Source organism: Homo sapiens, chromosome 3, assembly GCF_000001405.40.
Source record: "Homo sapiens chromosome 3, GRCh38.p14 Primary Assembly".
Classification (NCBI taxonomy): Eukaryota; Metazoa; Chordata; class Mammalia; order Primates; family Hominidae; genus Homo; species Homo sapiens.
The window spans coordinates 64,543,848-64,559,111 of record NC_000003.12 but is presented as its reverse complement, the minus strand read 5'-3'; the positions used below and the strand labels follow the sequence as shown (position 1 = coordinate 64,559,111).

At 43.3% G+C, this 15,264-nt stretch overlaps 1 protein-coding gene across 5 annotated transcripts in view; it reads left to right on the top strand.

Moving 5' to 3' along the window:
• Nucleotides 1-15,264, top strand: part of ADAMTS9 (ADAM metallopeptidase with thrombospondin type 1 motif 9) — a 172,347-nt gene that overhangs the window by 128,889 nt on the left and 28,194 nt on the right. For 4 of the 5 annotated variants that reach the window (XR_007095711.1, XR_245151.1, NM_001318781.2 and 1 more), the window contains 2 exons: nucleotides 8,050-8,220; nucleotides 12,160-12,354. Coding sequence is in view for 2 of the 5 variants with exons in the window: in NM_001318781.2 (NP_001305710.1) it covers nucleotides 8,050-8,220; nucleotides 12,160-12,354 (366 nt within the window). In the remaining 3 variants the exon portion in view is untranslated. Of the gene's footprint in view, nucleotides 1-8,049; nucleotides 8,543-10,262; nucleotides 12,355-15,264 lie in introns of those variants that run through there. The other variant, XR_007095712.1, reaches the window with a different exon arrangement.

The window sequence follows — 15,264 nt, the reverse complement described above, 5'->3', positions numbered from 1 at the left end:
TCTTCCTACTTTTATGATCAAAAGCGCCCTTGTTCAACAGTAAACTGGGTGGTCACTTGATAAGACAGAACCCTTCAGGCTCCCCTAAATCACAGCCCTCACCTCCGATCTTGCTGCCACCGCCTCTCACATCCATTCTTTCAGCCACCGTTTTACCTGATATCCACTGATGCAGGCACACGTTTCCACTTTTCTCCCACACCTAGTGACGTCTTGACCTGAGGTCAGAGAGTGTGCCACAGGGCAGCCTCTCAGCCCACTGAATGGGATGTGCAGGAGCCCCCCATTATAGGATACCCCTTCTTTCTTAGCGGTCCCTGGCCACCACCTCAGAACTCTTGTTTGCTTGAGTATGCACTTTGCCTTTTGCTTCCCCTTTTAATAGTCCCCTATGTGGACTATTAAAACCCACCAGTTTGTTGGCAAGGTGTATTGCATGCTTGGTCCGTAGGATATGGCACCATCCTCTTTTTGAGAAATAATCCAAGCATCTGCCTAGAGAAGCACAGTTTCTGCACCCTCACCATGGCCATGGTCATCAGGGATGTTCTGTACAGCCACACAGGTTGTATACTGCACAACTTTGAGGGATGCCATTTTTATACAATGTGAGGAGCGTCCCCTAGAGTTGTATAGTACAATGGCCCTAATACTGAAGATAATAAAAATAATAAAGCTTATTGTTTACTAAGCTACAAACTAGGCACTATGTTGAGTATTTTCACATGAAGTGCTTCATTTAGCCCTTTCCATAACTCTCTGATGTAGTATTTATATTTTTATCCTCATTTAATAGGGGCAACTTGCGGCTTAGGTAGGTTAATTTATCAATGATCATGCATTTAGTAAATAATATGGCTGGAATTTGAAGCCCGGAAGCTTGCACGCTGGCACCTACACTCTGAATCATTATCTTCACTAATCCGATGCCAAATACACCTAAAGTGAATTATTTTATTTTCCTCTCAATGATTTGCCAAGCCTCTTACTGGAGAGTTGCTATCAAAGTGTATTCCCTTTACTGGGTTGTAACACCTACCCCTTCTAAAAAGGAGATTCTTGATCTAGTTAGCTATCAGACTTTAAGCCATGTCACCAGGCGAGTCTTGATGATGTTGGAGCCCCTCAGTGGACTTCCTGTTCATTGTGAAGCCCATTGGTTGTTCAGGGGAAAGGGGCCTTCTTGATACCATGAGAGTAGAGCCCAGACTTTCAGATATAGGGTAGAATAATTGGACAAGAGAAAAGTGCTCTATCCACACATCCACATCTCATTTTGTTTACATCCTAGAAACAACATGTTGTAGGCAAAATTCTGTTCAGTGTGTGGCTCTGAAAAGTTGACTCTGAATTTCTAGACTTCACTTAGCTCATCTGCCAAATGGGAATTCTATGGCAGACTTTGCTCAAGGGTCACAGTGAGGATTTGGTGAGATGACATGATTCGACATGGTGACTAGCACATTTTAGGCCATCCCAAAGTAGACTTCTTTTTAGTACGGTGGCCTTCCGATGGAGGCTTCTGGTGATGACAGCAGTTTGACTCAGCCTGCACCTTATAATGTTGGGCTTCTAATATCACCCGCCAGCTTCAGGTGAGTAATTTGTCCTCGCAGTGGTCAGTTTTACCCACTTTAGAATTATAATGCTCATGAGGCTGTTTGGAAGAAAAAAGTTAAAAAAGACTTTTTAATTCTTTTGAGAATTATTATCACAAAGGATTTACTTGTTAATAGTATCACAATCTGACATATAAATTCACTTAGAGCAGCAGAGGTCCTTCTGGTCAAATTTGAATTGTGATCGTATGGGGCCATGCATCTGCAGCATTGAGGAATAGATCTCACAGGTCCTGCATGTGTTCTTTTCCCCCTTTACCTGGAATACACTCTTCTCTTGTAGTACCTCTTCATCATAAGACCACCTTCCTCTGACCTTCACCTCAGTCACCCTTTCTTATCCTTCAGGCCTCAACCTAGATGTCACTTCCTCTCAGAAGCCTTTGCCAATCACACCACCCCACTAAATCTGAGTCAGATGCTCCTCCACTCAGCTCTCACAACACACGCAGATTACTGTACTCTGGCAGTTAACACCTGGAATTCTCATTGCCTGTTTTTCTCATCTATGTTATCAGTTATTTAAGGTCAGGAAGCTTGTTCACCAGAATCTTCTCTATCATTTAACATGGTACCTACAACATCAAAGATACCTGTTAAATGAATGAATCTGTGAATGAATGAAGGAAACAAAATAATGGATGGGTGGAAGGAAAGAAGAAAGGAAAGGAGGGAGAAAGGAAGGAGGGAAAGATGGAAGCAAAAAAGGAAGGAAGGAGGAAGGAAGAAAGGGAGGGAGGAAGGAAGGAAGGAAGGAAGGAAGGAAGGAAGGAAGGAAAAAAACATAGAACAGTGCCTGCTAATTGATGGACTTTCATCTTTCACTCTATAGAATAAAGGCATTCTAAAATGACTTTTAGAACAGTCAAGCAGGCTGGACACAGTGGCTCACGCCTATAATCCCAGCACTTTGGGAGGCCAAGGAGGGAGGATCATTGAGCCCCAGAGTTTGAGACCAGCCTAGGCAACATAGTGAGACTCCATCTCTACAAAAGATAGAAAAAATTAGCCGAGTATGGTGGCATGGACCTGTAGTTCCAGCTACCTGGGAGGCTGAAGTGAGAGGATTGCTTAAGCTCAGGAGGTCAATGCTGCAGTGAGCTATCATCAGGCCACTGCACTACGGCCTGGGCAACAGAGCAAGACCCTGTCTCAAAAACATTAAAAATAAAAAAATAAAAGCACAGTCAAACTCTGTTTTTCCTGTAAGAACAGCTGTTTTATTTTCTTCTCACAATGCCATGGACAAGCTGTGCTCAGATATGTCTGACTGTTGCAGAACTGCTCACCTCGCTGCTGTTTGGTGCGGTATGGGGACTTGGGCCACTCTGATACATACTTGGAGTCTGAGGGCTTTTATTAAGATCAGCTGTAGAATGATTTCCAAGTGCATCTCCTTAACACAGAAAAGTTAGAAATGAGCAGCAGGTCCTTGGTCAGTTGATTTAAAAGATTTTCCTGAAGTTAACAGTAGGGAATGACCAGGTTTTGATGTGCGCACAGAGCCAGATACGAACTCTTTATTGCTCATTTTATTAATTTATTCAACCAGCGTTTATCAATCCCTTGTGAAGTTCCAGGCATTAGGCATTAGGGATGCTCTAAAAATCCCAAACCACAAATAATCTGCTCTGAAAACCCCAAAATGCTGTGGTCATTCTGCTCCCCCGCTTCTCCACCCATGCCATTTCTCACCTCCAGCCACCGTGCATGCTGAGCCCCTCCTAAGAATGTCCTCTTCCCCTCCTTGCCTGGTGAACTGATGTCCTCCATCATTCTCCTGCTCATCTGCTGCTACCTGGGCCCACCTTTGCAGCATCATGGGAATTGCCCCGTTGTGTTTCCTCTTCTCTCCCTGGTGGCTTCTTACTCAATTACATGCTCTGTTACAAACACAACTGCTTACACAACTGCACAGGTAGCCCTAGGTGTTAAACCCCAGGGGTCACCAGTCAGCCAGCTGAGCTAACACATGGGAACCCAAGTTGGGAATAGCTGCCACCCTGGGTGTCCTAACAGGGAGAGAGACAGGGTACGAAGCCATGGAGGCTGCCTCCCGGGGCCCCAGCATAGACCTTGGCTCATTGTAAAATACTGATTGATTGAATGAATGAATGACTTTAAAGTTACAAAGTGTCTCCATAGTATTATTTCTGCCTCCTTCTCCCCACCGCACCTCCTAACAAATATATACTATTTGGGAGCAAAAATGTCTAAATTCTGTATACCTGACTTTAAAATGAGCTTTAAAGTAAGGACTGCTTTTTTCGTTGTTGCCATTTAAAGCAACGCTAGATAAACTGATTTGTCATTGCTGCTTCTCATGACATAAAAACCCAGGAACCCTGTGGTTCTGTGAGTTGCCGTCCATACACTGTGCAACAATGGTAACCCAGCACTAGAGAAGACAAGGTCTTTCATCCATGGAGAAAATCAACAACCTTAAAAGGTAGAGCCTGTGACTCTCAAGCGGTTTTCTTCCCCCCATGGTTAGGGAATTGCACCAAAAGATATATTTGAAAGTGTAAAGCAACTTGATTATAATCTTTAAGCAAAGAAAATTTCTACCCATTGCATTAAATGATCCTTTTCAGACCATCACTCTGTGGCCAACCTACCTGGCTGAATAAAATACCACCTTCAGGGTTTACTTTAGGTCTTCCTCACCCTCAAATTCGGAGAAGTTCTTTTCCCCCTGTTAATTTCAGCATATTTAAAGGCACATGTAGCTTGCAGAACAATGGGCGAGCTGCCCGATTTAGTCCAGCACTGTGATTATTTTCTTTCTGAATTATAGTGTGTGATGAAATGCAAGGAGGCTGGTGGTGTTACTTGTGTTAGAGATTTTTCTAAAAGCCATACTGAAATTAGAGAAAACCTTTTGGAAATTAAAATGAGGCTAATTGAACTTTCCAACTGTTTTTCAGAACATTCTAGATCATATTCCAGGACAGGGGAAAGAGTCATAAATCGTAGAGGGTTGAGGGGGAAGCCATATTACAAAAAGCTGATGAAACCTGATAGCATGGACTCGATTTGTTTTCTGATTACCCAGCCCCCATACCCTAGTTAGGATTTAAGATTCCAGGAGAAAACCCTTGCCATGTGATTTTCAGAGCTGCTGTTGACTAATTTAGGAAACACTGGGCAAGTCACTTATTTACTTAGTTTAATTTTTAATTTTGTAAAAGTTATATTCAAGGTAAATTTTTCCAGCTCCCCTTTCCACCGCTGGCAAAATAGTCTTTACAGTAGTTAACCATTCTTTAAGACTGAGAGAGAAACGCTTAACAAGCATAAAGTATTTAGGATTCATTGTATTTCTGCTCTGAACTGTTACTTATTGATGCAGATTAAAGCCTTGTGGATTAGTGAAAACAAGAGAGGATACTGGAAGGTTTAGTCCAGGTTTAGCTGCGCAATAATTAGGATCTTCTCAGAGTCACCTAAGTCCTAATTTTCTAAGGAATTACTTTTTCTATGGGTGGTTAAGTATTTGCATATATCTACACATCACAGATTAAATTTTTCTTTTCTTTTCTTTTTTAACATTCGGTGGCCCTCTATCTCACCTTTTTAATGATGAAAAAAACACTTTTTTTCTAGGGGAATAGAGAACCCCAAAACCACTGAGCTAGGGATGAGCTAGGGAACTGGGCTCAGCCGGCCTCCTGCACTAATTTGAAATGATTCTGCTCCTCCATGCTCACCTCACAGTGGTTTCAAGTTATGTTTATGCTCCAGAAAAATGAGGACTGACTCCATATTCTAGATATTGAGGTTTACTCCCAAGCAGCAGAAATTTTAAGTTTAGTTTGCAAGTGACAAGGGGCTACCAGGAAATGCCAGCATATCCCTTCTCCTTCCTAAAGGAACAGGGTAGCTCACGAAAGGCACGGGGCATACTATATGACCCAGCAATTCCACTCCCAGGTATATATACCCAAAAGAATGGAAAATAGGTGTTTAAATTTGTACATGAATGTTCATAGCAGCACTATTTACAATAGCCAAATGAGAAACAACCCATATGTCCATCAACTGAGGAATGGATAAACAAAATGTGGTATATCCGTACAACAGAATCTTATTCAGCCTTAAAAAGGAGTGAAATATTGATACATGCTGCAATATGGAAGAACCTCGAAAACATTAAGGGAGAGAAGTCAGGTAATAAAGGCCACATATTGGATGATTCCATATATGTGAAATACCCAGAATAGGCAAATCTGCAGAGACAGAAAGCAGACTGGTGTTTGCTAGGGGCTACAGGAAGGAAGGAATGGGGAGGGACTGGTGAACGGGTACAAGGCTTCCTTTTGCAGTGATGAAATATTCTGGAACTAGATGGGGTGATGGTTGCATAATATTGCAAATGTCCTAAAGGCCACTGAATTCTATACTTGTGATAGTTAAAATGGTGAATTTTATATTTTGTGTATTTTATCACCAAAAAAAAAAAGACATAGGGCATATCATAGAAGACATTTCTGAGTGAAGCTGAGTTCCAAACATAAATGCCTTTGAGGCAAGGCAGGGATAAAAGGAAAGGCTGCCCATTAGATGAAAAAGAGAGGTGGGGTCTGTAGTTCTCCGTAAAGAGACTAAAATTAGACATTTTAAAAGACAGTGTGCTAGCTGGGCATGATGGCTGACGCCTGTAATCCCAGAACTTTGGGAGGCCAAGGCAGGAGGATCCCTTAAACCCAGGAGTTCAAGACCAAACTGGGCAACGTAGTGAGACTCATCTCTACAAAAAATTTAAAAATAAGCTGAGCGTGGTGGCTCATGCCTGTAGTCCCAGCTACTTGGGACTAAAATGTAGGAGGGAAGTCGAGGCTATAGCAAACTGTGATCACATCACTGCACTCCAACATGAGCAACAGAGGGAGACTTTGTCTCAAAAAAAAAAAAAAAGGAAAGAAAAGAAAAGACAACATTCTGACCACACAACAAAAATCACAGTTGTTAGATAAGCCCGTTGCCAACAGGGTATTCAATCCCTGGCCTAAATTAAGAAACTGCAGCAGTCCTTGGTACAGGTTTCACTTAGCTCACTGGGGCTTCCCAATGAGTCTTGAAATGTTGGGTGACACAGAGGCTTTAGATACAATAGGCTTTCAGTGACCTTTAGCAACACAGGGCACTAAGGATAAACTTCAGGGGTGGGGTTTGGTGTTGGCTAAAGCAAAACAAATAAGAATCTGTGGACATAGAGATTATCCTAGAATGAAACATACCACTTGCTCTGTAATCATCCCTTGGCTTATGGGAATAAACATAGCTGTCCCGTCTACCTCACAAAGAGATGTGTGACCTGGGGCAAGTAACTTAGGCTCTCAAAGTCCCATTTTCTTCATCTGGAAAACGGAATTACAGTAATTGTTAAATCTCACTACCTAGCTATCTTCTTTGTTGTCTGCCTTTGCTACTAACATATAAGCTCCTCTCTGAAAACAGAGAATGTGCCATTTGTGTGCACTCTTGTTCACCCAGGACCCGTCACAGGGCCTGACACCTAGTAGGAACTTAGTGAATATTTGCAGAATGATGTGGCATGAGAGCAGTTCCCCTGGAGAAGAAAAGGCACCTGGGGCTAAAGGAAAGCCCTCTTCAAATAGCTGAAGGAGATTACTTGTGAGAGCTGAAACTTTCCTTTATGCTTTCCTGGAATGGAAAACTAGGACAGGGGCCTGGAACATACAAAGAGATTTGTTTGGTTCCATGTTATGAAATGAGATGGCTATCTGGGAAGGTACTGATGTCCCTGATCCTGGAGGTATTTAGACACCAGCTTGGTAAACATTTGGCCATAAGTGTCAATATCAAGTCACTTGTGAGTAGGTGTTTGAAGTAAATAGGATTTAAGGTCCTTTCTAAACTGAGATTGACTCATTTATACTTTCCTTCCTTCCTTTAGACAGCTGGGTGGTGAATGCCAGGAACAGAGTTGTTAGGTAACTGGGGTAAAATGAGGAGTTCTCGGCCGGGAGTGGTGGCTCACGCCTGTAATCCCAGCACTTTGGGAGGCCGAGGTGGGCAGATCACGAGGTCAGGAGATCGAGATCATCCTGGCTAATACTGTGAAACCCTGTCTCTACTAAAAATACAAAAAATTAGCCTGGCGTGGTGGCGGGCGCCTGTAGTCCCAGCTACTCGGGAGGCTGAGGCAGGAAAACGGCGTGAACCCGGAAGGCAGAGCTTGCAGTGAGCCAAGATCGTGCCACTGCACTCCAGCCTGGGAGACAGAGCAAGACTCCATCTCAAAAAAAATAAAACCAAAAAAACAAAAAAACGAGAAGTTCTCTGGCAATCCCTGCCCTCAGGGCTCTTATGATCTTAAAGGCTATGTAGACAGGTAAACACATAATTACAGTCATAGGATATAAGGAACTACGGTTTATTCTTCTCTTTTGCTTGTATTTAACAGTGCACCAAGACCTGCGGCGAAGGCTCCAGGTACCGCAAGGTGGTGTGTGTGGATGACAACAAAAACGAGGTGCATGGGGCACGCTGTGACGTGAGCAAGCGGCCGGTGGACCGTGAAAGCTGTAGTTTGCAACCCTGCGAGTATGTCTGGATCACAGGAGAATGGTCAGAGGTACCGTCCTGGGAACTGTAACCATCGTCAGCTCAGCCATGGCCTGAGAGTGGCAGAGGGATGAGTGGAGGGATGAGTGCAGGAATGTGGGAGACTTGAGGCTACCCGCCCGATTTGCCACTGTGAACTGTGTGTTTTCTGACAAGTCCTCAGCTTTCCCAAGCTAGAATTCCTTGTATGCAAAGCGGGAGAGATGTAAGAGATGGTCTCTAAGTCCCTTCAGGTCTACATTCTGTGATTCACCTTGATGTCCTATTGGCATAAAGAAGAAATTATTACAGGGGCTGCAAACTCATAGGATGCTGTGAGGTGCCTGAAGACAGTTAAGTATAAGAAAATACTGTAGTGCCAGGGATACAACAAGGAGAGATGGCAACTGTGACAAACTAGCACATGCTGTGTGAAGGGAGCAGAATCTCTTTCACTCCAGCTGTGGCCATGCAGAAATGTGGTCTAGCGTTACCAGACCTGATTTTTCAAGAGAGGCTAAAAATCTGGACTAGTATGTGAGATTTCCTAACTTGAAAATGGGGGCTGAAATTTTTGGTTTTAAAACATTGTAAGGGGCAAACAAACCCCTTTCATGAACCAGATGTGTTGTGCCTGTTTAACAAACAGCTTCAGAGGAAGAAAATAATTTTCTATAATATCCGAAGTATCTCAAGTACCATTTTTTCATATATCTTCCTGTGCACAGTGCTTATCTAGACCCTTTTTAATGGTAATAAACCAGTAGTAATCATAGCATGATTATATTATTTTCAAACATCGTAATATGTTCATATCTGTATGAGAGATCTGTAGCAGTCAAACCAGTTGTCATTTGCCCAAAAGCATTTAGAGATTCGAAAGGGAGGCATCTGGACTCACAGTAAAGGTATTGAAAATTGTTAGGTAATATGATTGCTGCCACTGGGTCTCTTCAAAGTTTGACAGGCAGCAATTTCACATGTTAATGAGATGAATATTTGCATTTAGATGATGTGTGTGTTGGGTGTTGAATTGCTTCCTGCACTAAAGCTGATCCCAAAGTCTTTTCTAATTATCTCGCCCTATCCTTTATTCCTGTGAATTTTGTCCTTCGAGGGGACATTTGGCAGTGTCTAGAGACAGTTTGGTTGTGACAGCTGGGGAAAGGGGACCCTACTGGCCAGGGTTGGAAGGTGGAGGCCAGGGATGGGGCTAAGAATCCTATAGTGCGCAGGGCAGCCCTCACAATACAGAATTATCTGGCCCAAATGTCAGTGGTGCTGAGGCTGGGAAACCCTGCTCGACCCCAACCCTGCATCTTCTCGGTATGCCCTGAGTAGTACCGCATGCCCTTAGAGAGTGAAGAGGAGACATGGTTCTGATCTTTACGACATTGATTTGCTCTTGGCCAGCCAGGAACATGTGGAATCCAAATGAGTGTTCAGAATAGTTCTTGATATTGGGTTTGAGGCATAGGTTCCAACCCATCCAGATCCCAACGCAGGGGGATCTCACCTTTCACCTGGCCAAGATTGACATCTTCATCTTAGCTTATCTCTTGTGTAGCACTTTTATTATGGGACTTGAGTCATATTACTCCTATAGCTTTAATATAACCATAACCCCCAAAAGATGAAACAGGGAGAAGATTGAAAAGAAAAAAGGAAGCCTTCCACATTTCTGTAAATTTGCAGGTGTATCATGAATTGAAAAGTCTGCAAATTTATGGGCAACAACTACAGGGCTGGAAACAGTATTTAGCACAGATACAGGGACCACAGGGAAGGAAACCTGCAATGAGGGGAGAGGGGCCGAAAGGGACTGGCACCAGCATCCTCTCTAGAAAAGAAGACATGCCTTCTCTCTGGGACCTCTATTACCTGGAGGCTTCTTTGTGTGTTTTTCTCTGAGCTCTACTCCACCTGAATTGGCGGAGGCCCGAGCTAGACTGGCAAAGAAGAGCTCTGTCAGTCCTGATTGACACATGCATTTTCTAGCAGGGCCTGAAGTGTACAGCTCATGCAGGGAGCCCACAGTCTTATTGTTTTGCTTTGCTGTTATTTTCAATTTAGAAAAGTAATACGTGCTCATGTGGAACCAAGCACATACACCAAGGCATGCAGAGTCTACAGTATGAGTTTCTCTCTGAAATGGTTTGAGGAAACCAGCAGCAGTCAACATTTTCACAATGCTGATATCAGCTAGCTGAGAGCATCTGTTCTTGCCAGCTTCTTTATAGAGATGTGGAGGCCTCTGTGTTTAGCCTGACCATATTTGGGGCTCAGTTCCATCAGCAAATGCCTGTCTCCCACTGGGCTCCCCCCCACATAAATAGCCAGGGGACGACTTTTGCTCCTGGTTTGTAGGGGTCAAGAGTCTCATTCCTTGCCCCTCTCAAATGCACAACTTTGTTTAAGTTAGTATGGACTGTTGTCAATGCATGCAACACTGGGTCAGACACTAAGATTACCCACAGCTTGGACAGAGTTTGTTAGCCATCTGCATGAAACACCCCGGGCTGGCCTTACACTTTCCTGGCCTGGCGTCAACTTGGCCTTCAAACATTTGAACAGCAGCAGCCAAAGAAGGAAGAAATGTACACAGAGCATTTCTATGTCTCGAGCCAACTGGAAGGGAAGGCCTAGGGATGCTCTGCGTGCCTCTAGCTGGACTTGTTCTCTCCTGCCTCTGGGATTTCTTCAAGGAGAGCCTTTTCCCTGGAAAAGTTGCAGGAGAAGAAAACTATGTGACTAAAAGCAGCAGGAGACATTAGGGCAGAGCAGACACTGTGGCTTCTCACTGCCCTTGAGAATTGATGAAAGCTGTGGTCCCTCACCCCAGAAAAAGCATAACACACCACATGTGGCATACTGTTTTGGGGTATTTATCCCACCCTCACCCAAGAACCGTAAGTCTAGAGAATACCGGCACTCTACCCCAAGTTTATGAAGCACATTTACAAAAGATGACCAGTTATTTGATGCTGTTGCCTAAAAATATCATCAAAACTAAATTAATTGTAACTCTGTTTTATTTTTTATATAGAAAATGATAAAAAAAAAAACTTAGCTAAGGAGGTTGAAAGTTGGGACACTATAACGATGTGTATTTCTTCTGCATTTCTGTATTGGTAGAGTATGTTTAAATGCCATAGACTTAGGATAAAAGAGTACAGATGAGGGCGTGATATAGAGCAAGAGGTAGAAAAGCAGAAAGGTAACATGCCAGTCAACATCTATAGCCTAGCTGGGTGTGGTGGCACACACCTGTAATCCCAACTACTTGGGAGGCTGAGGCATGAGAATCACTTGAACCTGGGAGACGGAGGTTTCATTGAGCGGAGATCATGTCACTGCACTCCAGCCTGGACAACAGAGTGAGACACAGTCTCAAAAAAAAAAAAAAAAAATCTATAGCCAGGGAGAGAGATAGGAGAAAGAAATTAAATGGAGGGCAGGTAGGAAAGCCAACAGCACCACGGAGGGAAGGAAAACAGTCCCAGAGTCCCCGTTGGCTCAGTGCTTGGATTTCACACTCAAAATGCCGACTCACGGGTCAGCTGCTGCTGTCTCCTCTTCCCTTCCCAATTTGGTGGTCATCATAGCTTTAGAAAAGAGCAGTTTGCCAACCTGTGCAGTTGGGCTGAAGATGCAAACTGAATGAATGACAGCTGGAGCACCTCCCCCTCCTCCTCCCTTCGAAACCTCCAGAAGGGGTTTGAGGCAACCCCACCTGCAGTGGGGGCTGAGAAGATGCCAGTGGAAGCACCAGATCCCAGAGGCACCCTGTAGGGTTGCCTGTCTCCTGTGCGCTCAGGGCCTGCCACTTGAAATGAATAAATAAGCTAATGAAGTGGGAGCTTTCTGCAGCATAGTCACACGGTCAGCGCTTGGTGTGGAGGTCAGGGGCCTATTGTGGGCTGCCCCCAGGAACTGCTCGAACCTCTCCTCTCAATCCCTGTCTTTGCAGTGCTCAGTGACCTGTGGAAAAGGCTACAAACAAAGGCTTGTCTCGTGCAGCGAGATTTACACCGGGAAGGAGAATTATGAATACAGCTACCAAACCACCATCAACTGCCCAGGCACGCAGCCCCCCAGTGTTCACCCCTGTTACCTGAGGGACTGCCCTGTCTCGGCCACCTGGAGAGTTGGCAACTGGGGGAGCGTAAGTAGAAGACTGAGCACTCAAATCTGAAAGCCCTTGGATCTCAACCCCGTCTTAAACATGTCCTGCCTAACCCGCTCTCCTTAGTAACTCTACTTCCAGGAGAAACCCTGGAGTTAGCAACTTGAAATGGGCTAACAGGGATCAAAGGGACTTCTTTCTGTTTACCAAAGTGGCTTTGTGCTTAGAACATGGGCTCTGAAGCCAGACAGTCTGGATCTGAACCCTGGTTCTGCCACTTCCCAGGTGAACAACCTTGGGCAAGTTGCATAACCTTTGTGTCTCAGTTTTCTCATCTGCAAAACTGGTAGTTGTGAAGATGAAATGAGTTTACACAGATTGAGCATCCCTAATCCAGAAATCCAAAATCCAAAATGCTATAAAATCCAAACATTTTTTAGTGTCGATATGACACCATAATGAAATGTTCCTTGGAGCATCTTGAGTTTCAGATGCTCAGATTAGGAATATCCAACTAGTAATACTGCAAGTATTCCAAATCTGAAAAAAAAAAAATCTTAAATGCAAAATACTGCTGGTCCCCAGCACTTCCAATAAGGGATACTCAGCCTATATATAAAAAGCACTTAGGTTATAATGGCAAATGTTTTATATATATTTTACTGCAAATTTGTTTTAAAAAAATGCTTAAAATCTGATACTCATAAGAGTTACAGAAGGAGTAGTTATTGTTGCTTATGTTGTTAAGAAGTCTGTATGTTCTAGTGCTTCTATGTAAGAAATACTTCATTGCACTGGGATACAACAAGGCAGAATATTTTAAATTGGGACTGCCCTGGAAGACTGTCACAGCCCCCTGGCTCTGGACCAGGCAGCTCTCAGTCTTGAAAAGTTGTCAGGCAGCCAGGCATGGTAGCTCACACCTGTAATCCCAGCACTTTGAGAGGCCATGGTCGGCGGACCATGAGGTCAGCAGATCGAGACCAGCCTGGCCAACATGGTGACATCCTGTCTCTACTTAAAATATAATTTTTTTATTATTATACTTTAAGTTCTAGGGTACATGTATACAAAGTGCAGGTATGTTACATATGTATACATGTGCCATGTTGGTGTGCTGCACCTATTAACTCGTCATTTATATTAGGTGTATCTCCTAATGCTATCCGTCCCCCTGCCCCCAACTCCATGACAGGCCCCGGTATGTGATGTTCCCCACCCTGTGTCCAAGTGTTCTCATTGTTCAGTTCCCACCTATGAGTGAGAACATGCAGTGTTTGGTTTTCTGTCCTTGTGATAGTTTGCTGAGAATGATGGTTCCCAGTTTCATCCATGTCCCTACAAAGGACATGAACTCATCCTTTTTTATGGCTGCATAGTACTCCATGGTGTATATGTGCCACATTTTCTTAGTGCAGTCTATCATTGGTGGACATGTGGGTTAGTTCCAAGTCTTTGCTATTGTGAATAGTGCCACAATAAACATACGTGTGCATGTGTCTTTATAGCAGCATGATTTATAATCCTTTGGGTATATGCCCAGTAATGGGATGGCTGGGTCAAATGGTATTTCTCGTTCTAGATCCTTGAGGAATAGCCACACTGTCTTCCACAATGGTTGAACTAGTTTACAGTCCCACCAACAGTGGAAAAGCGCTCTTATTTCTCCACATCCTCTCCAGCACCTGTTGTTCCCTGACTTTTTAATAATCGCCATTCTAACTGGTGTGAGATGGTATCTCATTGTGGTTTTGATTTGCCTTTCTCTGATGGCCAGTGATGAGCATTTTTTCATGTGTCTTTTGGCTGCATAAATGTCTTCTTTTGAGAAGTGTCTGTTCATATCCATCGCCCACTTGTTGATGGGGTTGATTTTTTCTTGTAAATTTGTGTAAGTTCTTCATAGATTCTGGATATTAGCCCTTTGTCAGATGGGTAGATTGTAAAAATTTTCTCCCATTCTGTAGGTTGCCTGTTCACTCTGATGGTAGTTTCTTTTGCTGTGCAGAAGCTCTTTAGTTTAATTAGATCCTGTTTGTCTATTTTGGCTTTTGTTGCCATTGATTTTGGTGTTTTAGTCATGAAGTCCTTGCCCATGCCTATGTCCTGAATGGTATTGCCTAGGTTTTCTTCTAGGGTTTTTATGGTTTTAGGTCTAACATTTAAGTCTTTAATCCATCTTGAATTAATTTTTGTATCAGATATAAGGAAGGGATCCAGTTTCAGCTTTCTACATATGGCTAGCCAGTTTTCCCAGCACCATTTATTAAATAGGGAATCCTTTCCCCATTTCTTGTTTTTGTCAGGTTTGTCAAAGGTCAGATGGTTGTAGATGTGTGGTGTTATTTCTGAGAGCTCTGTTCTGTTCCATTGGTCTATGTCTCTATTTTGGTACCAGTAGCATGCTGTTTTGGTTACTGTAGCCTGTAGTATAGTGTGAAGTCAGGTAGCATGATGCCTCCAGCTTTGTTCTTTCGGCTTAGGATTGTCGTGGCAATGCAGGCTCTTTTTTGGTTCCATATGAACTTTAAAGTAGTTTTTCCCAATTCTGTGAAGAAAGGCATTGGTAGCTTGATGGGGATGGCATTGAATCTTTAAATTACCTTGGGCAGTATGGCCATGTTCATGATATTGATTCTTCCTATCCATGAGCATGGAATGTTCTTCCATTTGTTTGTGTCCTCTTTTATTTCGTTGAGCAGTGGTTTGTAGTTCTCCTTGAAGAGGTCCTTCACATCCCTTGTAAGTTGGATTCCTAGGTATTTTATTCTCTTTGAAGCAATTGTGAATGGGAATTCACTCATGATTTGGCTGTTTGTCTGTTATTGGTGTATAAGAATGCTTGTGATTTTTGCACATTGTATTTGTATCCGGAGACTTTGCTGAAGTTGCTTATCAGCTTAAGGAGATTTTGGGCTGAGACGATGGGGTTTTCTAAATATACAATCA